The sequence below is a fragment of the Homo sapiens genome, chromosome 21, assembly GCF_000001405.40.
Source record: "Homo sapiens chromosome 21, GRCh38.p14 Primary Assembly".
Lineage (NCBI taxonomy): Eukaryota > Metazoa > Chordata > Mammalia > Primates > Hominidae > Homo > Homo sapiens.
The window spans coordinates 28192039-28219724 of record NC_000021.9 but is presented as its reverse complement, the minus strand read 5'-3'; the positions used below and the strand labels follow the sequence as shown (position 1 = coordinate 28219724).

The window sequence follows — 27686 nt, the reverse complement described above, 5'->3', positions numbered from 1 at the left end:
GGATTTTAATAATCAATTGGATAGGATGACCTGTTCTGTGGACACCACCCAGCCTCTTTCCCCAGCCACCCCTGTCATTGCCCAATGGGCCCATAAACAAAGTGGCCATGGTGGCAAGGATGGTTGTTATGCATGGGCTCAGCAACATGGACTTCCACTCACCAAGGCTGACCTGGCTGTGGTCACTGCTGAGTGCCCAATTTGCCAGCAGCAGAGACCAACACTGAGCCCTCGATATGACACCATTCCTTGGGGTGATCAGCCAGCTACTTGGTGACAGGTTGATTATGTTGGACCTCTTCCATCATGGAAAGGGCAGAGGTTTGTCCTCACTAGAATAGACACTTACTCTGGATATGGCTTTGCCTATCCTGTATGCAATGCTTCTGCCAAGGCTACCATCTGTGGACTCATGGAATGCCTTATCCACCATCATGGTATTCCACACAGCATTGCCTCTGACTAAGACACTCACTTTATGGCTAAAGAAGTATGGCAGTGGGCCCATGCTCATGGAATTCACTGGTCTTACCTTGTTCCCCATCATCCTGAAGCAGCATTGAGAGAATGGTGGAATGGCCTTTTGAAATCACAATTACAATTCCAACTAGTGACAATACTTTGCAGGGCTGGGCAAAGTTCTCCTGAAGACTGAGTTTGCTCTGAATCAGTGTCCAATATATGGTGGTGTTTCTCCTATATATCCAGGTTTCATGGGTCCAGCAATCGGGGGGGGACGTGGAAGCGGCACCACTCACCATCACCCCTAGTGATTCACTAGCAAAATTTTTGCTTCCTGTTCCTGTGACATTACGTTCTGCTGGCCTAGAGGTCTTAGTTCCGGAGGGAGGAACGCTGCCACCAGGAGACACAACAACAATTCCATTAATTTGGAAGTTAAGATTGCCACCTGGACACTTTGGGCTCTTGCTACCTTTGAGTCAACAGGCTAAGAAGGGAGTTACAGCGTTGGCTGGGTTGATTGACCCGGACTATTAAGATAAATCAGTCTACTACTGCATAATGGAAGTCAGGAAGAGTTTGCATAGAATGCAAGAGATCCATTAGGGTGTCTCTTAGTATTACCATGCCCTGTGATTAAAGTCAGTGGGAAACTACAACAGTCCATTCCAGGCAGGACTACAAATGGCCCAGACCCCTCAGGAGTGAAGGTTTGGGTCACTCCTCCAGGAAAAAAACCATGACCTGCTGAAGTGCTTTCTGACGGCAAAGGGAATACAGAATGGATAGTAGAAGAAGGTAGTCATCAATACGAGCTCCAACCATGTTACCAGCTGTGGAAACAAGGACTATAATTTTCATGAGAATTTCATTCTTCTTTTGTTAAAAACATGTTTGTCTATGTATACACTTGTACTAAGAAAATATTTTTATTTTATTTTATTTTATCATGTGACATAAGGTTTATTGACTTCATATCAGCATTTAAATATTGTTAACTTTTTGTATTAGTATTTGGGTTGGGGATTGGTGCATTTCCAGTTGTATGAAGGATAGTTGTATTATATCAGGCAGAATTACGACCTTATTATTATCTTTATTTGGAGATTATGATCTCAGGAGATGTGTATGGGTTCAAGTTGAGAAGAGGTGAAGTTGCGATGGTTAATACTGAATGTAAACTTGATTGGATTGAAGGATACAAATTATTGATGTTGGGTGTGTCTGTGAGGGTGTTGCCAAAAGAGAATAACATTTGAGTCAGTGGGCTGGGGAAGGCAGATCCACCCTTAATCTGGTGGGCAATTTAATCAGCTGACAGCAAATATAAAGCAGGCAGAACAATGTGAAAAGGAGAGACTGGCCTAGCCTCCCATCCCACATCTTTCTCCTGTGCTGGATGCTTCCTGACCTTGAACACTCGACTCCAAGTTCTTCAGTTTTGGGACTCAGACTGGCTCTCCTTGCTCTTCAGCTTACAGACAGTCTATTGTGGGACCTTGTGAACATGTAAGTTAATATTTAATAAAGTCCCATATATATATAATGTTATATTATATATGTTTATTTATTCTATTAGTTCTGTCCCTCTAGAGAACACTGACTAATACACAGGTCAATGGAAAAGATGAGTGGGGCCAATCCTACATCTGCCCTTTGGATATTGGAGTCAAGTAGTCTAGCATATGGGTACACACCATCATATATTGGCCATTGGTTCAGTGCATAAAGCATCTCCTGGACCAGAATGTCCAGCTCCACAAGAGAGGCACAATCAAGGCCTGGCTTAAAGACAGTTCTCATCTCAGGTCAAGAGGGACACAGCTGGTGGTGTTTAGTAGATAAATTGATAGAAGTGGAGCCAAGGCATTTATAACTATAAGACAAGCACTTGTCATTACTGGGTTCCCTGCAGATGGAAAACAGAACAAGCCATGGAGGCCCCAGGGATCAGGCAGGGCCAAGAGGATCTGATGGCGGAAGGGGGAGCACATCAACAAGACCTTACAAGGCAACTTGCATGGATGCTCTGAAGCAACTTTGAGGTCTCCTTGATGAGGAAAGTTGGCTCAACCTGCTGTAGAGGTGAGTCATTTGTTTGAAGTTTATTCATATTTTATGGCCTCTTTTCAGGTGTCTGACCCTCTTTCCACACACACAAAAATCTTATTTACTTACTTTATTGATATTCCTCTGCAGTTGGAATACATTTATTCTCACCATCTTGGCTCCCAAAATCTGTGAATCTGATACCATTTCCTATTCTGATAGTATAATGCCACTCATACACGTTATATCCTTATTTCAGCATAATGTTTGATGGGATCTTTTCTGGTATCTTTTTTCACAATCTCTAACACTAAAACTTAGTGTGTCTTGCAATTTTTTACAAACATATTTTTCATTTATATCAAGAGGACTTTAATTTTTGTGATAGTATAGATTAATTTCATCAGTTCCCCCGCTACTCCGGGTACCATTTAGAACTATTCCTAGACTAAAGTCTGCACTGAACTACAGTAAATGTTTAGTCTAGTTTTAGTAGTTATTCCTTTTAAGGACAAATCCCATCATGTACTGGAGTTCACACAAAATGTTTTGAGTTCTGTAGATATCTTCCTGCTAAGAATTTTAAATTCCAAGGTATAATTTGGGGAGATAATTAATTACACCAACATTGTGTCCTATTGGAGGAAAGACCATTTGCCATTTTTCCCTATGCATATTCTACCTATGCTCACCTAATTCTTAGCAACTTCCTCTTGCTAGCTCCATTCCCAACCCAAGGAAAAAAGATTAACCTGCTTATTCAAATTCATAGATATTGATTGCACACAATTACTAGAGGACATTGCCATTGCATGCACAATCACTGGTTATATCTTCAAAGTGAGGAGTCTAGGTCTGGAACTTCTCATTGTCATTTTTTTTTTTTTTGTATTGTGTTGTAGAATTGGTAAGCAATGTTAGGAAGTCCTCTTAAATTTTGGTGGCCTTTCTCTGTCTTTCATGCTGTGTCTGAATGGGTAAAAAAAAAACCCCTCCAGCTATATGTTTTTCTCTCACGCAGGTATACCTGAGCCTTCTGCTCTCAATATCTAAAATGTGACGTCTTAACATGAGAGAGGTGTTTAGGAGGTCCCTTTCTGACTTAAAGCCTAAGTCAGAGGCTTCAATTTACTTTTTCACCAGCAGAATTAGTTGCAGAATCTTGCAACCAACAAAATGACCTTTATTCCTGTTCTGTTTTGTTCATTCGTTGCCTTACTTAGTAACCACTTGGGAGAGATTCTTGACAGTGACATAGGATTTAAGCTTTCCTAGCCTCCTGACTGCAAAATGATCATAATACCATCAAACGCTATCCCTGACTTCTAAAATTGCTTCAAACATTTGATGAGCAGTTCTGTAGTTATATATAAGTCAAATTTCTACGTTAGCTTTTGCTACCTGAGGACAGAGAGCATGAATTTTATTTCTTATCCCAGGCAGCAGGTATAGTGCTTGTACACAGAAGGTATTTTTCCAGTGAGTCAGAACATAATCCCAAGTATATCATTTTGAAATCATATTTCTCAGATATTTGAAGTTTCTTATAAGGAAGTATTTAATTTATAATACCCCAAAAGGGATTATGCTAATTTTAAAGATGAGGAAATTGAGACCCCAAGAGATTAAAGGGTATGTTTAAGTTTCCATGAAGAGGAAGTGGCAGAGTTGAAATTCCAATGTAGATATGCCCAGCTCTAAAGCCAGCTCTTGGCAGAGCATCGCTGTTTCTAAGCTAGCCCGAGGGTACAGGGAGTTTTCAAATTCTCATCCTTAGTCAGCCAACATTATCTCATGCGACTCCATATCAGTTCTCCTGGTTCTGGGCAGCCACTTGGACATTCTTGATGATGAAATATTTTGGTCTGTTGGCTGTTATGCAACCATAGTCAACTAAAAAATATCCTTATGAGAAAGTGTCTTCTCCATTATGCTGTTTATTTACAAAAGTCTTGGAGTAAGATGAGAGGGAAAAGGGGAGACAGGAAATCAAGAAGTTCCGTGAAGGCAAAGCAGGAACATTTGGGAGAAAGAAATGAAATTCCAGCATTTTATTAATATTTAAAAATTGTTACATTGTATTCTATTGGTAAGAAATCTCTATATTCTCAGGCTGGTCACTTCTGTATGGCAGAAGTCAAAGGTTGAGTCTCCACCTTCAGCAATTGCCTCCGGCTTGTGTAAAGTTTTCTCTCTACAAGTATTCATGATTGAAGGCTGACTAGAGAATGCGCCAGGAAGAAAATAAAAGCCAGTTCTATCCTGTGCCTTTAGTTATGTACAGTCTAAATTGCACATTAGACTTGTCTACTTTGAGATAATCCTCTCTATAGTTACGATGAGCTAATGGAGTGTAGAGGATTGGCTTTTATTGTTAAATAAATATTGCTAATTTTGGTCACGTTTCCTTAGTCTAACCATTCTCTGAATCATTGTAAATAAGCAGAAAAGCAAGGGATGAGTAGCAAACCTTTTGTTATTGTGTATTTATTTCTTTGTTGACTGTTATATGATTGAGTATATTTGTTTTAGTTCTACAAAAACAATGGAAGCAGTTTATTAGAATGCAAGCAGTAAATAGGGGAAAAACATAATTCAGGATGTTAAAAAATAGAAATACAAACAACACATCAGGAAAAAATTGTATAAAAATATATATGTCATAATTTTTTAAATGGTTGCTAAAATTATGCCTACAGATTTAGCTCCAAGCACTCTGGCAGCAAAAGAAGAAATGAGAAAATATATTACTTAAAAAATTTGTATCATCTAGGAGAAGCATACAACTTCTTTTAGTTGTTATTAGAGTGGCAACCATACCTAAGCCCTATTGTTTGTGTACATGGGTTCTTAATGTTTTCTCAATGAATGCTTTTGATTTGCAGGCTGCAGCCAGTTGAACTCGTGCTTTCTAGGGCTTTAGTCCCCTCTTCTATGAAGATTGCTCCAGACCAAATGTGCACCCCTCTAGTTACTGTGGAACACAACACATGAGCAATGGCCACCAGGTTTCATTTGAGATCACGTGCCATTGAAACTCTTTAGTGATACGAGAACCAAGACTGCTTTTTGTCTTCTTGCTTCCTATTTCTGTCCTATTTCTTCTGGAATTCTAGATAATTATGAGCTACGATTTGCCCTATCCTTCTAGATTACAATGTGATGAATTCCTGCTGATTAATTTATATCTCAAATGCATGGCATTGTGAATTGGTACTATTTCTGTTCCTTTGAAGGAACACCCAATATTTGAAATCACTCTAGAGCTAGAAAAGACAGCAAAGTAAAACAATCTGGTCCTGGAATATAGTAACTTTTCCCAGGGAACAGTAAGAGGGAAATATGCACCAAAGAAAAATTCTATTTTTTTTACTTTCATTATTATATACCTGAAGAAGATATTCTTATTTACAGGTGGGTAATTAACTTATAGCAATTCTAGGACATCAGGAAGCTCATCCTGCAAATTCCCTCGATTCAAAAATAATTTGAGTCAGTAGCTGAGGTTTCAATTCTTTCATTTAATTGGTTGAATCTCATTGGCTTTTTTTTCCAATCACTAACACGTTAGTGTAAATATGTTGAACAGATTCTCTCAAGCCAGAGAATTTGTTCAGAAAATCTCTCTTATATAATGAAGGACACACGACAAATTAAATAGATTTGGATGGGAAGAAGTTGGAAAAAGTGCGTTTAGAATTGATTTAATGCATAACAGCTGAACCCTTAGCTATAGGACAGCTCAGCCAGGGTTCTGATTAGTATCTGATTCAATGTCAGATGCATGAATGATGTAAACTTCTGTACTTACTTCATATCTTTTGAAAGTCCTGACTTGTAGAAAGATTTGGAAATTTTGAATCATCCCAAAGCATTTCTAAATGCTCATATACAAAACTATTATTTTTTGTATTTTTAAATAGCATAGAAGTCAAATGAAAAAATAAATGATAGAGAATATTACCTTAAGTGTGCCATATTATTGACCTTCTTACATGAAAAGTCATTTTCTAAAAAAATACGATACAAATCTTTTCTTTAAAACAACAGGAAACTTTAAATTATTTAAATAATCATACCTACTCTAAAATAACTAAGTGACTTACTCAAGCTTTCTTGTTAGGGATGTCTAACAACTCTAGTGAGTTACATATAGTAAGCTGTCTTTTATGAAGTCAAAATAAGAAAGATATTTCTATAATTCTTCTTTGTTTTCTTTATAACAACCTATATTATAAAAAACTTTATCTTTTTCTTTTTCTTTTTTTTTTCTGAGACAGAGTTTTGCTCTTGTTGCCTAGACTGGAGTGCAATGGTGCGATCATGGCTTACTGCAACCTCCGCCTCTCAGGTTCAAGAGATTCTCCTGCCTCAGCCTCCCGAGTAGCTGGGATTACAGGCGCCTGCCACCATGCCCAGCTAATTTTTGTATTCTTAGTAGAGATGGGGTTTCACCATGTTGGCCAGGCTGGTCTTGAACTCTTGACCTCGTGATCTGCCCGCCTCAGCCTCCCAAAGTGCTGGGATTATAGGCGTGAGCCACTGAGCCGGGCTGCAAAACCTTTATCTTTAACAGCACATGGATGGCTATTGACAGTTCATAAACAAACAAAAAATAAACATTTCACCTAAAGATTTGATCATCTGTAGGAGGCCTATGTAGTATAGTCATAGAACATTATGACATTATATGAGCATTATAAATATAAATTAAACACAGTCTTTAATATGATTAATATTGTCATCTGGCTTTTGTTAATAATTTTGATAACCACTGAATGGAAACAAAATGAGATTTCAAAAGTGCAAATAATGTGCAATTTTTAGAGAAGGTAAAAAACACAATTTCTTTTTTCCTTTAGTAGGCCCACAGCCAAGCCATTGAGAGACAAGTCCATGGGAGACAAATTAGCTCATGCAGCTGAGATGTCCTGGAGATTTTCCACAGCACCACTTGGCCAGTGCCTAGACAAGGTAATTTACCGTATCTCTAAATGTCCTACTCCCAAGAGCACATTCATCTTGCCTCCCCTTGAAGCAGATCCCTTGAAGAGTTTCATGTTTATGAACATGGAGTAGTATCGTTTGGCCAGCAAAATTAGGAAATGAATTGTGTTTTCAGTAAACTCATCTATTACCTTACTTCAGAGTGATTAAACTCATAGTGCTTGATGAAAATAACCAACTTAAAATGAGGAATGAGCATAAAATATGGTTATGCCCTCAGAGTTCTACCTGTGACAAGAAATGATAATCAAATCAGCTGGGCATTATCAAGCAAAATGATGGTAAGTAAAATAGATATAATTTTAGAATCATCATAAAATAATGAAAGAGAATACTTTTATTTAGGTTTGTTTTGATACCAACAGGAATCTTTTTTCAAAGTCTGAATCTCATTAGAAAAGGCATGAAAATACACTGAAAGGCATTTATAGATTTAAAAAGATGTTAGAGGGCTTGAGGAACTTATAGACAAACATTATTATTTTGAAAAGAAAATTGGCCAAAACCTTTTGAAATGCTAACCTCAAAGAGAGAAATGAGTAATGTTAGTTAAGAGTTTTGATTCTAATCAACCTAAATGCCCATCAATGATAGACTAAATAAAAAAAAGTGCTACATATATATACCATGGAATACCATGTAGCCATAAAAGTAATGAGATGGTGTCCTTTGCAGGGACATAGATGGAGCTGGAGGTCATTATCATTAGCAAACTAATGCAGGAACAGAAAACCAAATACCACATGTTCTCATTTATAAGTGGGAGCTAAATCCTAAGAACACATGGACACATAGATGGGAGCAACACACACTGGGTCCTATCAGAAGGTGGAGGGTAGGAGGAGGGAGAGAGGATCAAGAAAAATAACTGTTGGTACTAGGCTTAGTACCAACAGTTGAAATAATCTGTTCAACAACCCCCCGTGACACAAGTTTACATACATAACAAGTTTACGTATATAACCAACCTGCACATGTACCCATGAACTCGAATTAAAGTTAAAAAGGAATTTTGATTCTTAAGAAAGTGGGAGAAAAGTTAACGAGATTAAAATATTGATGAAATACTTTGAAAAGATATTATATAAATATGTATTGTTTTTCTGTGTCTAAACTTCTTAAAACTAGAAATAGTTTAATATTAGAAATTTCCTAAAATATTAATGATACACCACAACACTCTGTTGAGTATTTTTTTTTCCAATTTATACCCAGTTTAAAGAAATCATGGTTTCTACTTTGTACTTAGAAAACTACCTCTTTTTATCTAATCCATTATATGTAGTCAAACTAAGTGTGTCAAATGCACATTTATAGTGCATTTGCACTATAGTCAAATGCACATTTGACACATTTAAGTGTGTCAAATTCACTTTGTGGGCAAAATAAAGTATGGGAATGGTGTGTTTTTCTCCTGACACAGATCACTACTTCTTCATGATAGACACAATCATTTCTTGTGTCTTATTTATCTGCCTTTCTTTCACCTGCATGATTTTTTTTTATTTCTGATAAAATTACATTTTTTAATTATTGAAATGTTTATCAACATATCTGTTCTGATCCAGAGCAAAGATATGGATGCTCATAAGTTTCTTATAGCAGAGAAATTACAACGGTTTGTGGGGAGGGGGTTACTAATAGCAGCTTCTGGAACAACTGCAAAGGCATTATAGGAGGTGGGGAAAACCACGGTTAAGGCAGGCTCTAGATCTTTTATTTATGTATGGTTCTAGAGGTTCTGATCCATTGGGCAGAAAAGCAATGAAATAAAAACATTAAGAGAGAGATACAGAGGTAGGTGTGTGGTGGGTGTGAGGAGGAGAACCAGATGGATGATGGTTCAGGCACAAATTTGAAAATGTATTTGAATTTCAAATCCAAATACATTCCCCTAATATGAAGAAAAATCTATTTACATTAAAAAAATATCTGTAAGAATATGCAACACATCTATTTCTTTCCTTCCAAATCAAGTAGTACCTAAAGGACCCAGCAAATAAGGAACAATGCGTCTATTTTTAGAGAAGTATATTTTCCGAGTTTGTTCCTTGCCAATCCAGTATTCCATACTTTTCACTCTGACTTAAGGTATCTGCAACCACATTCTTGTCATCCAGACGATGGCATGGTGATATTTTCTCAAAGCCTTGGTTTAATTACTTGATTAGTTGTTACCTACTCACACATTGGGCTTTTCTCACGTTTTCTTTTGTTTCAGAAAATGTATTTTAATGTAAAACATACCAGGCTATTCTTTGGTATGACACCTGACGGGAAGCTTGGATCAGGTTGAGTATGGCAGAAAGTCTCATGCATCATTCCTGTGCCTAAGTGACAATCTCAGTTGAGACCTTCAGGTTTTCCCACCTTATCTATCTCAACGACTGGGTTCCTTTCCACTTTGCCATTCCTCATCCCTCCACTGACTGCCATATTGATTTTTCAAAATGTAAATATAATTATGTCACTCATCTTCCAAAAGTTCTTAAGTAATTGCTTATAACCCACAATATGATAGAAAAACTGAGAGTGGTGTAGAGGATCCTTTAGGCCTTGGGCCTGCCTACCTGCTCAGCATTATCTGCTCTACCCTCATTAACCCCCTCTGCACTGGCTATACTGAGAAATTTGGTATCCCCCAAAGTTATCATGACATGCTGCCCTTTTGGCTGGCCAGCTCTTGCTACCTGCTGCAAGAGAACAGCTACTCTCCCTTCAAGTCCAAATGTTATCTATCCTGTTGAATGAGAAATATCATTAAACACATCTTTTTCCCTTCTGTGGCATCTTGTGTGTAATTCAGAACACCAGTCATTGTTGTCTTGAAATTCTTCTAATCCAGCACTTTCACATAGGGGTCTTTCAATAATTCCTTGCTGAAATAAAGAATAAATGAAAAATAAACAGGTGCTTAGCAAATATTAAGAACATCAGAAGTTTTGTTGCTATCTTGTACCAAGTTGCTGGAAACGTTTGAGATCACATATAATATAATCAATATCTGCATATGGCTGGAAATTTCACTACCAGATTGTCATCCTACGACGAAACATTTTTTGAAAAAGATTGTCTATGTCAGATACACCTTAGTTTGAAAGCATTTTAAACTTAATTAATCTAACTTCTATATTATATTCATGAGAAAAATCAAGTTCAGGAAGGTGAAAGCAATTCACTGTGACACAGCTGAAATTAAAGGTGGGGCAGAACTAAACCAAGGTATACAGATATTCAGGCAATCATCATAATAAAAAATGAGGTCTTTATTATGAAAACAAATAGATGAAAAAAATTACAAACGGGTTCTTATTTTTATTCACCTAACTTATATAGTCATTAAATGTCTATTGTCGCTATGTTCAGGACACCATGCTACCTACTATGAATGTTACGGTGTTATGGATACAAAACAAATAGCACATAGATTCTTCACTTAAAAAATTCATGTTTCACCTCTCGTCTCCTTTCTCTCTCCCTTCCACTATCCTTCCTCTCTACCTAAGAACACTTCATAGTGTCCTAAGTTGGACCTTCAGCTAAATGATTTAAGTAAATTTAATGGTGGAAAAAATAAATAAGCACAGCACAGAGAATCCTTATAGTCAGGCTGTGGATCAGATTCTATCTCTAAGCTCTGAGGCCTTAATAAGTCAATTTATTTTTATGAGCTTTGGTTTATAACTCTGAGGGGTCACAGTGATCTCTGCTTGTCTCTGCCACAGGCTACTTTGAAAAGAAATGATGGAAATGCTTCATTTCAAAGCATTGGCTTTGGCGTCAAAGAAGCTGGTTTTGAATCTCTGCTCTGTTACTTATTAGCTGTATGAGTGTCTCTTCATGTTGAAAATGGGTTATATTTTCCACCTTATCATTGTTAGGATTACCAATATCGTAAGTAAGGATAAAGGTCTGATGTTTAGGACAGTCTCAATTAATATAAATCTTACTCATTTTAGGAATGTTTGGGAGAACTTTATCAGTCCTAAAGTTCTGTAGACACCTTAGAAATTATTTCTCCCCAGACACATACTATCTAAAGCCTGCCATTGACGAGATGGCTGGCCGAGTTGCATTAGTCTGGATATTGGTGGTCTTATGATTTCCTTCCAGAATCCACATCTTAACTACAAAGATCAGCAATAATGCTGGGTGCACATAAATGGCCTAGGAGCCTGAGGCTATGTGAAATGAGGACTACTCTGGAGTAAATTGTCATGTTCAAAAAGTAAATAATGAGTCAGACCATGCCTAATTCCACAGGAAAGAGATTAGTTGCAGCAAAAAACATGTGGAGTTAATTTAGTTAGAAAAGAAAAAATTAACATCTTGAATTCCACACAAAGACTCGTACTCCTTGGAGTTTGTGGGATTATTTACAGAGCCCCGCTGTAACCCTGCATAAACGTAGTAGGTAGGTTATAAAGCAGCAAATCAAGGATGACTATTGTTCTATTGTTACAGTGAAGGTTTCTGTTTTATATACATTATAAACCTTATTCCACATATGTAGCCTTTACTGATATGGGACCTAGGGACTTTTGAGGGAATTGAAACAAGAAGTGAGATTTACATAATGCTCTCTCGAGTTCCATTTTGGCTAAATTTTAAGACATGATTTAAAAATAATGTATACTTGGAACGAGTCAGAAGAGAGCGCTTGTTTCTACAATGTGGACGTCAGCTGTAGCTTGCATAATATAAATCTTTTATTAATTCAGTGTCCCAATTGACTGCTAAATTTTGTCATTCAGAACTTGAAGTTGCTTTCAAGTTTGCTTTTTGGGATAGTTCCTGCAATTACTATGAATTTTCATAGTTGTATAGATCCTTGGCTTCATCACTTTTACTTTCTTTTGTATTTGATGCAGGAAGAATAGAATTTGCTTCTGGCTGATTCCATCTGTAGACTTGTCCCTAAGCCTCTGTTTTATTCTGCCATGTTCTTGGACTTTTCTTTCTCTCCAGCCTTAGATAAAAGGCATCTTTTCCCAAGTGCCATTTTCAGTGTTGTTGTTGTTGTTGTTGTTTTAAAGAACTTTCTGCAAATGGTTGTCAAAGGATCTTCTATGACACAACACTGGAACAGACAAAAGAAGCAGTACTTCAGAAATAACCAAATCATCACTATTATGCACTAATCTAGCTCATCTAGCAAAAGAATTACATAGGACCGGGCGTGGTGGCTCACGCCTGTAATGCCAGGACTTTGGGAGGCCGAGGCGGGCCGATCATCTGAGATCGGGAGTTCAAGACCAGCCTGACCAACATGGAGAAACCCCATCTCTACTAAAAATACAAAATTAGCCAGGCTTGGTGGCACATCCCTGTAATCCCAGCTACTCGGGAGGCTGAGGCAGGAGAATCGCTTGAACCCGGGGAGGCAGAGGTTGCAGTGAACTGAGATCGCGCCATTGCACTCCAGCCTGGCAACGAGAGCAAAACTCTGTCTCAAAATAGAAAAAAAAAGAAAAAAAAAAAAAAGAAAAGAAAAAGCAAAAGAGTTACATAAAGAGATTGTCTAATTTATTATATTTCCCAGGGTTTTCTCCATAGCTGAAGACCCTTGCATTTTCTTATAATAAATCCAAGGTAGTAAAATCCTCCTTTACTTGAATTATTTTGTTGTTCTTCAGTAATACATTTGGCATTCGTAAAATGCTTTTTTTTGCAAACACTTTGAAATTAATTTTTTTTTTTTGAACAGAGTCTTGCTCTGTTGCCCAGACTGGAGTACAGTGGTGCAATCTCAGCTCACTGTAAGCTCCGCCTCCCGGGTTCACGCCATTCTCCTGCCTCAGCCTCCCGAGTAGCTGGGACTACAGGCACCTGCCACCACACCCGGCTAATTTTTTGTATTTTTAGTAGAGATGGGGTTTCACGATGTTAGCCAGGATGGTCTCGATCTCCTGACCACGTGATCTGCCCACTTCGGCCTCCCAAAGTGCTGGGATTACAGGCATGAGCCACTGCACCTGGCCTGAAATTAATTTTGTTTTAATCAAGTAATGTATTTTTTAAGGTATTAAAACTTTAGATGCATATTATTTTTTCTTAAATTCCTGAAGTTTAAAATGGAAAGATTTTACAAAAGTGGATTAAAATTTCGTTATATAATGCTATATGTTTACATAAATATTATTTGCAGCCATATACACACACACTATATACATGTACACATATACATTAATTAACGATTTAAATTCTCACAATCCAAAATAAATGGTTCTAGATTCATAATTATGTCAGTCACAATAATCTTTATGTTTTCTGTTTTCTCCAAATTCTCAAATAATACTTTAAAAATTACTACTTTTTTTTTTTTTTTTTTTTTTTAAGACAGAGTCTCACTCTGTCACCCAGGCTGGAGTGCAGTGGTGCGATCTCAGCTCACTGCAACCTTAGCCTCCTGGGTTCAAGCGAGTCTCCTGCTTCAGCCTCCCGAGTAGCTGTGATTACAGGCTCGTGCCACCACGCCTGGCTAATTTTTTTTTAATTTTTATTTTTAGTAGAGACGGGGTTTCACCCTGTTAGCCAGGAAGGTCTTGATCCCCTGATCTCATGATCTGCCTGCCTTGGCCTCCGAAAGTGATGGGATTACAGGCGTGAGCCACAGCACCTGGCTAAAAATTTCTACTTTTTTATTAGTGCTATGTAACAGGCAATACATCATGTGCTTTTCACATATTCATTCATTCATTCTTCACAATAATTCTCAGTCATATGAACTATTATTCCTATTAATACCAAGCTGAGAGACAAAGTAACTCAACTTCCTACAGCTTTTGAGAGGCAGAGAGGAATTATATTCTGTCCTTTATCTTAACCACTACATTGACCATTTTGTTTATCACATTAACTTTTATTATAATCAAAGGGATGTAATGAAAAACACCTTAAGAAACTCAAATACAACACAATCGTAGTAAGCCCATAGAGTATACATCAGTAATACAGAAGGAATAAAGGACAGTAAAATATAGCTATTTTTTATTCTAAGCAAATGATGGAAAAACACTATTTCATGAAATAGAAACATTGGGTTGAGATTAATAATTTGAAATATGGAAAGCTTATTGGTATATTTTCAAATAGCAGTTAAGATCTAGGCAGAAAAATAAAACCACTTTAGGTTTTTCAAACTGAGGTTATTTGATACAGGAATTGGGGAAAAGACTTGAGAGCGGGGCCACCCAGAAATCAGCAACAACAAGGAAGCTGTTAACATCACACCTGAAGGTCAGTGAGAGCAGGTGTTGTTACCATTGGAATCCAGAAATCATGGCTGCCTCCCAGCTGCTTGTAAATAGGAGTGATGGGCTGGAGAAAAGAGCTAGAGGCACAGAGGAAGCAGCTACAACCAGAGACATCACAGGAAGAAGAGAGAAAGGGAAATGCCCTATCTCCTGCCTCTAGAATTACAATCATTGCATCCAGCCTTCTGTTTCAGATCCAACCTGGAAACCTGACGCCAAGGGCTTCATAAACAATGTAAGTTCCTGAAAAATGCAGTAAAGCTAAAGATGGGCACAATGTAGATCTGAGAGAAGGCAGTTCAGTTATCCTCCCTCCTCCACAGTTCACCAAAATGTAACGGGGTGAATTTGGATAAATCGTCAAACTACTGTGAAACTGCTTCTTTATGTAGAAAATAAAAATATTAGATGCTACCCCTGCCTCATAGGAATATTGAGTGAAGCAAATGAGATGATTGGTATGAATGCTTTGTCTATGTGGCAAGGCTCAATAAAAATATAAACTTTTACCATGTTGGTATTTAATAAAGTACAACAGTTCTTGTTCTATTGATTAAAGAACTCTAGCAACAATTGCAACTGGCGAGAGCTTTTATTGATCATTTTATAACAATTTTTAAAGGTATAATTATCTTTTTTTAACTTTTATTTTAAGTTCAGGGCTACATGTGTAGTTTTGTTACATAAGGCAACTTGTGTCATGAGGGTTTGTTGTACAGGTTATTTATCACCCAGGTATTAAGCCTAGTACCCATTAGTTATTTTTCTTGATCCTCTCTCTCCTCCCATCCTCCACCCTCCAATAAGCCCAGTGTGTGTTGCTCCCCACTATGTGTCCATGTATTTTCATTACTTAGCTCCCACTTATAAGTGAGAACATATGGTATTTAGTTTTCTGTTCCTGTGAGTTTCTGAGACTACTGACCTCCAGCTCCAGCCATACCCCTTTAAAGACATGATCTCATTCATTTCTGTGGTTGTGTAGTATTCCATGGTGTATATGTATAAATCAATAAGTTGTAGATTTTAAAATAACTTCATGAGCTTATATACCTACAAAAATATATGATTATTTTTATTTTCAATTTTTGTGAGTACATAGTAGGTGTATGTATTTATAGGATGAATTAAATGTTTTGATGAAAAACATGAAAAACACGAAATGTTTTAATATAGACATGCAATATGAAATAAGCACATCATGGAGAATGGTGTATCCATCCCCTCAAGCATTAATCTTTTGAGTTGCAAGCAATACAATCACACTCTTTAAGTTATATTAAAATCTACAATTATTATTGACTGTAGTCACCCTATTGTGCTATCAAATAATAGGTCTTATTCATTCTTTCTACCTATTTTCTTTGTACCCATTAACCATCCCAAACTTTTCCCCAACCCCTCACTACCCTTCCCAGCCTCTAGAAACCATCCATCTACACTCTATGTCCATGAGTTCAATTGTTTTGATTTTAAGATCCCACAATTAAGGAAGGACATGCAATGTTTGGCTTTTTGTGCTTGGCTTATTTCACTTAATGACCTCCAGTTCTATCCATGTTGTTGCAAATGAATGGATCTCATTCTTTTTTATAATTGAATAGCATTCCGTTGTGTATGTGTACCACATTTTGTTTATCCATTTGTCTCTTGATGGTCACTTAGATTGCTTCCAAATATTAGCTATTGTAAAGAGCGCTACAACAAACATAGAAGTGCAAACATCTCTTCAACATACTGATTTTCTTTATTTTGCTTATATACCCAACAGTGGGATTACTAGATTATACGGTAGCTCAGTTTTTAATTTTTGAGGAATCTCCAAGCTGTTCTCCATAGTAGTTGTACTAATTTACATTGCCACCAACAGTGTTCAAGGGTTTCTTTTTCTCCACATCCTAGCCAGCATTTGTTATTGTCTGTCTTTTGCATATAAGTCATTTTAACTGGGGTGAGATGATATCTTATTGTAATTTTGATTGGCATTTCTCTGACGATCAGTGATGTTGGGCACCTTTTCGTATGCCTGTTTTCCATTTGTATGTCTTCTTTTGAGAAATGTCTATTCAAAATCTTTTGCCCATTTTTGATTAGGTTATTAGATTTTTTCCTATGGAATTGTTTGAGCTATTTATATATTCCAGTTATTAATCTCTTGTTCAGATGGGTGGTCTGCAAATCTTTTCTTCCATTCTGTGAGTTGTCTCTACACTTTGTTGATTGTATCCTTTGCTGCACACTACAGCACTACTGTATATTCTCACAAGCAATATATGGTTGTTCTAGTTTCTCCATATTCCTGCTTTTAAAGCTTTTTAAGCTTAAGCTTTTTAACTTGATGTAATCTCATTTGTTCATATATGCTTTGGTTGCTTGTGCTTCTGGAGTATTGCTCAAGAAATCTTTGATCAGACCAATAACCTGGAAATTTCCCCAATGTTTTGTTGTAGTAGTTTCATAGTTTGAGGTTTTAGATTTAATTGTTTAATCCATTTTGATTTGCTTTCTGTATATGGTGAGAGATAGGGATTAACTTAGCCAAAGAAGTGAACGATTTGTATAATGGAAACTATAAGACACTGAAGAAAGAAAACACTGAAAAATGGGAAAATAGTCTATGCTCATGGATTGGAAGAATCAATATTGTTAGAATGTCCAAAAATGTTCCAAATAAATCTACAAATTCAATGCAATCCTTATCAAAATACCAAGGTTTCATTGGTATTTTGTTTCATTCTTTTGCATGTGTATATCCGGTTTTCCTGGCACCATTTGTTGAAGAAGAGACTGCCTTTTCCCCAGTGTATGTTCTTGGCACCTTTTGACCAAGAACCGCATTGGCTATTCTGGGTATTTTGTGGTTCTATATAAATTTTAGGATTTTTTTTCTATTTCTGTGAAGAATGTCATGGATATTTTGATAAGGATTGCATTGAATTTGCAGATTGCTTTGGAACATTGTTGGACATTTTAACAATATTGATTCTTCCAATCCATGAACATATACTATTTTCCAATTTTTTTCAATGTTTTCTTCAATTTCTTTCTTCAGTGTCTTATAGTTTCCATTAAACAAATCGTTAACTTCTTTGGCTAAGTTAATTCCTAGGTATTTAATTTTCTGTGTGGCTACAGTAAATGGGATTACTTTTTAAATTTCCATTCCACATTGTTCACTTTGGTATATAGAAATGCAACTAATTTTTGTATGTTGATTTTGTATCCTTTGACTTTACTCAATTTGTTTATCAGTTCTAATAGTTTTCTTTTAGAGCCTTAAGGTTTTTCCAAATATAAGATCATATCATCTGCAAACAAAGGTAATTTGATTTCTTCCTTTCCAGTTTGGATTCCCGTTATATCTTGATCTTGTCTGATTGCATTGGCTAGGACTTTCAGTACTATGTTGAATAACAGTGGAGACAGTGTGAATCCCTATTGTGTTCCAGATCTTAGCAGAAAGGCTTTCTGCAATTATCTTTATTTAATGCTAGAACTAAAGGATATATAGATATATATGTTTCTATATTTATATAAACACATAAAAGTTTGAGATCTAACATGAGGTTATAGTTTTATTGAATATAATATACTGATTTAATATTTGTATTTTGGAGGAAATTAGACTACTTTGTAAATAACATGAATTTTGATGCCTCTACATGATTAAGTTAGACTATCTGATAACTTACATTAATAATTTTAGAAACACTTTCTGGAAAATTTGTACTGGCAGTATGCAGGCAATATAAAATGCATTAAAAGTTGTATTCTGTAAGTTAATGATGTAAATTTAAGCTGTGTGGTGAACTTGAAATGCATTTTTGCATAAAAAATCACAAAACATTCTAGTAATAGCAAATTTTATCCACAATGAATTACAAATACTGTTTGAACCTAGTGTAAAATCAAATGTCATTAAGTAACTTGTCTTTTAAACATAAATATGTTTAAACACACAAAAACACTACTCAACCAAAGAAACAGACGGTAACTAAGATTAGCATTTTGAGGAACTGCCAAACTGTTTCCCAGAGTGACTGCATTACTGTATATTCTCACAAGCAATATATGGTTGTTTCAGCTTCTCCACATTCCTGCTAACACTTGTGATTGATTGTCTCTTGTTTATTATAGCCACCCCACTTGGTCATGGTGTATAAATATTTTTATGTATTGCTATATTCAGTTTGCTAGGATTTTTTTGAGGATTTTTGCGTCTATATTGGCTAAAGTTATTTTCTCTAGTTTTCTTCTAATGTCTTCATCTGGTTTTAATATCAGTGTAATATTTGATACATAGAATAAATTGGGAAGTCAGTTTATATATTATTTACATATTTTGAATTATATATAATTTGAAAATATTTTATCCCATTTGGTTTGTAGTTGTTCTTTTCATTTTCTTTTTTTAAATAAATAATTCTTTTTAAAAAAAATTTAGCTTTAGGGGATACATGTACAGGTTTGTTATATGAATATATTGTGTAATGGTGAAGTTTGGGCTTCTAGAGTACCCACCACCAAAATAGTGAACACTGTGCCAATAGGTAATTTTTTAACCCTCATTCCGTCTCCCATTTTGCCCCATTTTAGAGTCCCCAATGTATATTTTTTTCATCTTTATGTCCATTTGTACCCATTGTTCAGATCCAAATTCTAAGAATATGTAATATTTAAATTTATATTTTTCAGTTATTTCACTTAGGATAATGGCTTCCAGTTCCACCTATGTTGCTACAAATTACATGATTTTATTCTTTTTAATGGCTGTATATTATTCCATGGTGTGTGTACATTCCATGGTGTGAGACATTTTCTTTATCCAACCAACCATTGAGAGACATTTAGGTTGATTTCAAGACTTTGCTATTGAGTATAGCACTGCAATAAACATACTAATATAGGTGTCTTTTTGATATAATGATTTATTTCACTTTGGGTAGAACCGAATAGTAGGATTGCTGGGTTGACTAGTAGTTCTATTTTTAATTCTTTGAAAAGTCTCCATACTGTTTTCCATTGAGGTTTTACTAATTTACATTCCCATAACTGTGTATAAGCATTACCTTTTCTCTGCATCCATGCCAATATCTGTTTTTTTTTAACTTTTAATAATAGCCATTCTTACTGCTGTAAGATGGTATCTTACTATGGTTTTAATTTGCATTTATCTGATGATTAGTAATGCTGATTATATTTTCATATGTTTGTTGACTGCCTGTATGTCTTCTTTTGAGAAATGTCTGTTCATTTCCTTTGTCCATTTTTTAATGGGGTTATTTGTTTTTTTCTTGTTGAGTTGGTATTGAGTTGTTGGATATTAGTCATTCATCAGAGGTATAATTCGCAAATTTTTTCTCGCATTCTGTAGGGTGCTCATTTATTTACTCTGTTAATTAGTACTTTTGTTGTGCAGAATCCTTTTAGTTTAATTAAATTTCTTTTGTTTATTTTTCTTGCATTTGCTTTTGAAGGCTTAGTTATAAATTCTTTGCCTAAGGCAATGTCCGGAGAAGTTTTTTCTTGATTTTTTTCTAGGATTTTTATAGTTTCTGATCTTCCATTAAAGTATTTAATCGACCTTGAATTAACTTTTGTATATGGTGAGAGATAGGGGTCTAGTTTCATTCTTCTGCATATAGCTAACCAATTTTTCTAACACCATTTATTGAATAGGGTGTTCTTCCTACATTGTTTATTTTTGTCATCTCTGTTGAAGATCAGTTGGTTGTAGGTATGTGGCATTATTTCTGGATTTTCTATTCTGTTCCATTTGTCTATGTGTCTATTTTTGTTTCAGTACCCTGCTGTTTTGGTTACTATATCTTTGTAGTATAATTTGAAGTCAGGTAATGTGATGTTGTTGGCTTAGTCCATTTTTGCTCAGGATTGTTTAAGCTATTTGGGCTCTTTTTTTTGGTTCTATATGATTTTTAGGATTTTTTTTCTAATTCTGCAAAAAATGACGTTGGTAATTTAAAAGGAATAAAATTGAATCTGTATATTGCTTTGGGCAGTAAGATGATTTTAATGATATTGATTCTTCCAACCCAAGAACATGGGATGTTTTCACATTTGTTTGTTCCAAGTATGGTTACTTTCATCAGTGTTTTGCCGTTTGCTTTGTAGAACTCTTTCATCTCCTTGGTGAAATATATTTCTAGGTAATTTTTTTTGTGGCTCATGTAAATGGGATTGTATTCTGGATTTTGCTCTCAGCCTGAACATTATTGGTGTATATAAATACTACTGATTTTGTAGATTGATTTTGTATCCTGAAACTTTACCAGTCATTTATCAATTCTAGGAGTCTTTTGAAGGAATCTTTGGGGTTTTCTAGCTATAAGATAAGGTCATCATCAAACAGAGATAACTTGACTCCTTCTTTTCCAATTTGAATACCTTTTATTTTTTTCTCTTCCATAATTACGCTGGCTAGGACTTCCAATATCATGTTGAATAAGAGTGGTATGAATGTACCGGCTTCTTTTGTCCCAGGTATTTATTTGGAATGTTTTCAACTTTTCCATATTCAGAATGATCTTGGCTGTGGTTTTTGTTATACATGGCCCTTATTATTTCAAGGTAAGTTCTACTGATTTGTATGTGATGAGTGTTTATATCTGAAGAGAAGTTGGATTTTATTGAATGCTTTTTCTGCATCTATTGAGATGATTATGTGGTTTTTGTTTTAAATTCTGTTTATATGGTGAATCACATTTATTGATTTGTGTATGTTGAACTATCCTTGCATCTCTGGAAAAAAACCCACTTGATTGTGATGTATTTCTTTTTCATGTAATGTTGGATTTGGTTTGTGACATAGTTTAGTTCTGAGCCCCCAACCAAATCTCATCTTGAATTGTACTCCCATAAGTCTCATGTGTTGTGGGAGAGACCTGGTGACAGATAATTTGAATCATGGGAGCAGTTTCCCTTCTGTTATTCTCATGGTAGTGAATAAGTCTCACGAGAGCTGATGGTTTTATCAGGGGTTTCTGCTTTTGCATCCTTCTCATTTTCTCCTGCTGCTGCCATGTAAGAAGTGCCTTTCACCTCCCGCCATGATTCTAAGGACTCCCCATGTGGGATTCTAAGTCCAATTAAACCTCTTTTTCTTCTCAGTCTTGGGCATGTCATTATCAGCAGCATGAAAACGGACTAATACAGTAAATTGGTAGCAGTAGAGTGGAGTGTTGCTGAAAATGTACCTGAAAATGCGGAAGTGACTTTGGAACTGGGTAAGAGGCAGAGGTTGGAACAGTTTGGAGGGCTCAAAAGAAGACAGGAAGATGTGGGAAAGTGTAAAACTTCCTAGAGACTTGTTAAATGGCTTTGACTAAAAGCCTGATAGTGATATGAACAATAAAGTCCAGGCTGAGGTGGTCTCAGATGGAGATGAGAAAATTGTTGGGAATTGGAGCAAAGGTGATTCTTGTTATTTTTTAGTAAAGAGTCTGGTGTCATTTTTGCCCCTGCCCTAGAGATTTGTGAAACTTTGAACTTGAGAGAGATGATTTAGGGTATCTGATGGAAGAAATTTCTAAGAAGCAAAGCATTCAAGAGGTGACTTGGGTGCTATTAAAGGCATTCGATTTTAAAAGGGAAGCAGAACATAAAAGTTCAGAAAATTTGCAGCCTGACAATGTGATAGAAAAGAAAATTCCATTTTCCGAGGAGAAATTCAAGCCAGCTGCAGATATTTGCATAAGTAATGAGGAGCCTGATGTTAATCCCCAAGCCACAATGGAGAAAATAGCTCCAGGGCATGTCAGAGACATTTGTTGCAGCCTCTCCCATCACAGACCCAGAGGTCTAGGAAGAAAAAATGGTTTTGTGGGCAGGGCCCAGGGTCCCTGTGCTGTGTGCACTCTAGGGGCTTAGTGCCCTGTGTCCCAGCTGCTCCAGGCATGGCTGAAAGGGGCCAATGTAGAGCTCAGGCTGTGGCTTCAGAAGGTGGAAGCCCCAAGGCTTGGCAGCTTCCACATGGTGTTGAGCCTGCAGGTGCAACGAAGTCAAGAATTGGGGTTTGAGAACCTCTGTCTAGATTTTGGAAGATGTATGGAAGTACCTGGATGCCCAGGCAGAAGCTTGCTGCAGGAGTGGGGCTCTCATAGAGAACCTCTGCTAGGGCAGTGCAGAAGAGAAATGTGGAGTTGCAGCCCCCACACAGAGTTCCTACTAGGGCACCACCTAGTGGAACTGTGAAAAGAGGACCACCAGCCTCCAGACCCCAGAATGATAGATCCACCTGAACGGTGCACCTGGAAAAGCCACAGACACTCAACTCCAGCCCATGAAAACAGCTGGGAGGGAGGCTGTACCCTGCAAAGCCACAGAGGCAGAGCTGCCCAAGACCATGGGAGCCCACCTCTTGCATCAGCATTACCTGGATGTGAGACCTGGAGTCAAAGGAGATCATTCTGGAGCATTAAAATTTGACTGCCTCGCTGGATTTTGGACTGGCATGGGCCCTGTAGCCCATTTGTTTGGGCCAATTTCTCCCATTTGGAATGGCTGTATTTACCCAATACCTGTACCACCATTGTATCTAGAAAGTAATTAGCTTGCTTTTGATTTTACAGGCTCATAGGCTGAAAAGACTTGCCTTGTCTCAGATGAGACATTGGACTGTGAAATTTTGGGTTAATGCTGAAATGAGTTAAGGCTTTGGGGGACTGTTGGAAAGGCAGGGATTGGTTTTGAAATGTGAGGACACGAGATTTGGAGGGGTCGGGGTAAAACGATATGGTTTGGCTTTGTGTCCCCACCCAAATCTCATGTTGAATTGTACTCCTATAATTCCCACATGTTGTGGGAGGGATCCCTTGGGAGATAATCTGAATCATGGAAGCAGTTTCCTCAATACTGTTCTCATGATAGTGAATAAGTCTCACGAGATCTGATGGTTTTATCAGGGGTTTCTGCTTACCATGTTTCTCATTTTCTCTTACCATCGCCATGTAAGAAGTGCCTTTCACCTCCCACCATGATCTGTTGTATCATGATTCTGAGGCATCCCCAGCCATGTGGAACTGCAAGCCCAATTAAACCTCTCTTTCTTCCCAGTCTCAGGTATGTCTTTATCAGCAGCGTGAAAATGTACGAATACAGTTTGCTAGAATTTTGTTGAGAATATTTGCATGTATGTTCATCAGGGATATTGGCTTATTGTTATCTTTTCTGTTGTGTTTTTGAGTGATTTTGTTATCTGGTGATACTGGTTTCATAGAATGCATTAAGGAGGAGCCTTTCTCCTCAATTTTTTGGAATACTTTCAGAAATATTTGTACCAGCTCCTCTTTGACATCTGGTAAAACTCAGCTATGAATCCATCTGGTCCTAGGCTTTTCTGTTGAGAGATTTTATATAACTGTTGGAATTTAATTAATCATTATTAGTTTGTTCAGGATATTTATTTATTTCTGATTCATTCTTGATGGTTGATATATTTCCAGAAATTTATCCATTTACTCCCGGTTTTTGGTTTTGTGTATGTAGAGATGGAGAGATGTTCATTGTAGTCTCTGATGAGCTTTTGTATTTCTGTGGTATCAGTTTATCAGTTGTAATATTACCCTTATCATTTCTTATTGTGCTTATTTGAATCTTCTTTCTTTTTATCTTGGTTAATCTAGCTTGTGGTCTATCAATTTTTTTCATTCTATGGAAGAACCAAGTTTTCATTTTCTTGATTCTTTGTATCATTTTTCTGGTCTCAATCTTATTTACTTCTTCTCTGATCTTTGTTATTCCTTTTCTGTGTTAGCTTTGGATTTGGTTTGTTCTTGTTGTTCTGTTTCCTTGAGGTACAATATCATGTTGTCAATTTGAAATCTTTCTATCTTTTTAAAATAGGCAATTAACACTATAAACTTTCTTCTTAGTACTGTTTTGGCTGTATCCCAAAGGTTTTGGTCTGTTGTATCTCTGTTTTCATTTAATTTTTTTAAAATTTCTGTCTTAATTTAGTTATTTACTCAAAAGCCAATGAGGAGCAAGTGTTGTAGTTTTCATGTATTTGTGTAGTTTTGAGAATTCCTCTTGGTATTGATTTCTTTTTCTGTTTTTTTTTTTTTTTTTTTTTTTTTTTTTTTTTTTTTGAGTCAGAGTCTCACCCTGTCGCCTAGGCTGGAGTGCAGTGGTGCGATGTTGGCTCACTGCAGCCTCTGCCTCCCAGGTTCAAGCCTCAGCCTCCCAAGTAGCTAGGACTACAGGTGCGCACTGCCACGTCTGGCTAATTGGTATTGATTTCTAATTGCACTGTGGTCTGAGATGATACTTGATAAGATTTTGATTTTTTTTGAATTTATTGAGACTTGCTTTATGGCCAGGCATACAATGAATTTTGTAGAATGTTCCATGCACAGATGGGAAAAATGTATATTCTGTGTTTGTTGGGTTGAGTGTTCTGCAAATGAATATTAGGTCCATATGGTCTAGAGTACAGTGTAAGTCCAGAGGTTTTTGTTGTTTTTGTTTTTGTTGATTTACTGTCTCTGTGATCTATCTAGTGCTGTCAGTGAAATGTTGAAATTCTCCAGTATTATTGTATTGCCATCTATCTCTTTTCTTAGATGTAATAGTATTTGTATTATGAATCCATGTGCTCCAGGGTTGGGTGCTTATCTATTTAAGATGGTTGAATCTGCTTGTTGTTTTCAATGTTTTATTATTATATAATGCCCTTCTCTCCTAGAAATGCCTACACATCATAGGTTTGGTCACTTTACATAATCCCATATTTCTCAAAGTCTTTGTTCATTTAATTAAATTCAATTTTCTTTACTTTTGTCTGACTGGGTTAATTCAAAAGACTGGTCTTTAAGCTCTTCATTTCTTTCTTCTGCTTGTTCTAATCTGTTGTTAAAGTTTTCAATTGTAAGTTGAAATTTCTTCACTGAATTTTTCATTTCTAGAGGTTCTGTTTTTTTTTTCTTTTTTTTAACCTATATCTATCACATCTTTCATATCCTAAATTGCCTTTTTGGTTTATTTCTGTTGGTTTTCAACTTTCTCTTGGATTTCACTGAGCTTCCTTACAATTCACATTTTGAATTCTTTATCTGCCATTTTAGAAGTTTCATTTTGGTTAGAATCCATTGCCATAGAGCTAGCATAGTTCCCTGGGGGTGTTGAAATACTCTGTCTTTTTGTATTGTCAAGAGTTTTTGTGCTGATTTCTTCTCATCTGAAGAAGCTGTCACTTCTTATTTTTGGAATTGCTATCATTTAATTGGGACTTTAAAAAAAATGTTTCTCCCTTGAGGGGCTGACTGTAATGTATGTTGTATGTGATCATTTGGCTTTGTTTCTGGGTGCTTTCAGGGGACCAAGGCTCTGTGTGGGTTCATTTGTTATAGATAGCTTTTGCCTCATGGCTTCCTCAAATTCTACTTGTTGTAGCTATGTACTGGGTGGATGAGCTGACTCACTATCTTCTGTGGGGCTGGGAATGCAGGTGTCTCAGGAAGCTTCTTTTGTACCCTGGTACTGTGGCCTTCTGTCAGCAAGGTTTTTATTTGGTATTGCAGTTTGGTCTCCAGTCCAGTAGGTGGTGATTTAAGAGCAAGGGTTAGCTTGCCATCGGGAACACTGATGATGAGTGGAAGCACCCACCCCGACAGGATAGCAGAGGAAGTTCTTGGTGGGAGGCACTGAGGTCTGGGGTGAGAGAGAAGGGGCTGTCTCAGCTCTTTGTCCTGAGCAGGAAGAAACATGATTTAGTTCACTATCAGGCCCCTGTTAGTGAATAGGGCTCATGAACTTCAGTTTAGATATACCCTGTCCTTTCTCTCTGGGCCTCAATGCATCTGAGGTCTGTGGGAAATGCCCCTCTTGTGGCTACCTCTGACATGGACTCAGGGCAGAACACCTTCCCCCCAATCCAAAAAAAAAGGAGCTCTGAAGCTGCCCTCGATGGCAGGAATGCTGCCACTTGGTGTAGGGAGCAGGAGATTATCCTACACTTCCTGACACCCAGGACCACAAGCACACTTTCAACCTGGGTGCAGCAGCCATGAATAGCACTGGAAAGGCTGTCTCTAAGCGCACTTGTGCCAGCCCCCAGCAGGAAAGGCCTCAGCTGTGTCTGCAGCAGTGTGAGGGAGTAAGAGGTGGTACCCTCTCCATGTCTGCTCCCAGCCACTAGTGCTGCTTGTCTGCTGGTGATATGGTTTGCCTCTGTGTCCCCACCCAAATATCACCTTGAATTGTAATAACCCCACGTGTTGTGGGAGGGACCTGGCTGGAGGTAATTGAATCATGGAAGTGTGTTTTTCCCATGCTGTTCTTGTGATAGTGAATAAGTCTTATGAGATCTGATGGTTTTATAAAGGGGAGTTCCCCTGCACATGTTCTCCTGCCTACCTCCATGTAAGACGTGACTTTGTTCCTCATTCACCTTCTGCCATGATTGTGGAGCATCCCCAGCCATGTGGAACTGTGAGTCAAATTAAACCAGTTTCCTTCATAAATCACCCAGTCTCAGGCATGTCTTTATTAGCAGTGTGAGAACAAACTAGTACAGCTGGGACAGAACAATGCTTCCCCTCTTGGGAGAACTGCACTATGCTGTGATTCCTTTATCCCAAGGGGGATTTGGTGAGGCACGCTCCCCTCCCCTAGGGGCTGTCCATCCTAAGGGCTAGATCTCCAGGGAATCACTGGTCCCCCATGACTGCCAAAGCCAGAGCAGATTCTGGAGAACATTTGTGGGGCATCTGGGGATAAGGCAACCCTGAGATTCCCCAGGTAGTTGTCCTTGATGGAGGCACAACCAGTACAGTGTCTGCTGCCTCAATTTGGGTATGACGGAGTGCTAGTGCACTTGCAGGAGCTGGTCACCTGGTGCTCTGCCCCCAGGAAGCTCGCAAATTGTCAAGGACAGTAGTCCTTGAGTCCTGGGCT

At 37.3% G+C, this 27686-nt stretch overlaps 1 long non-coding RNA gene across 1 annotated transcript in view; it reads left to right on the top strand.

Moving 5' to 3' along the window:
- LINC01695 (long intergenic non-protein coding RNA 1695) overlaps positions 1-27686 on the top strand; it is a 112574-nt gene that overhangs the window by 8943 nt on the left and 75945 nt on the right. The window contains exon 3 of the long non-coding RNA NR_126012.1: positions 7377-7485. This is a non-coding gene — a long non-coding RNA (long intergenic non-protein coding RNA 1695). The remainder of the gene's footprint in view (positions 1-7376; positions 7486-27686) is intronic.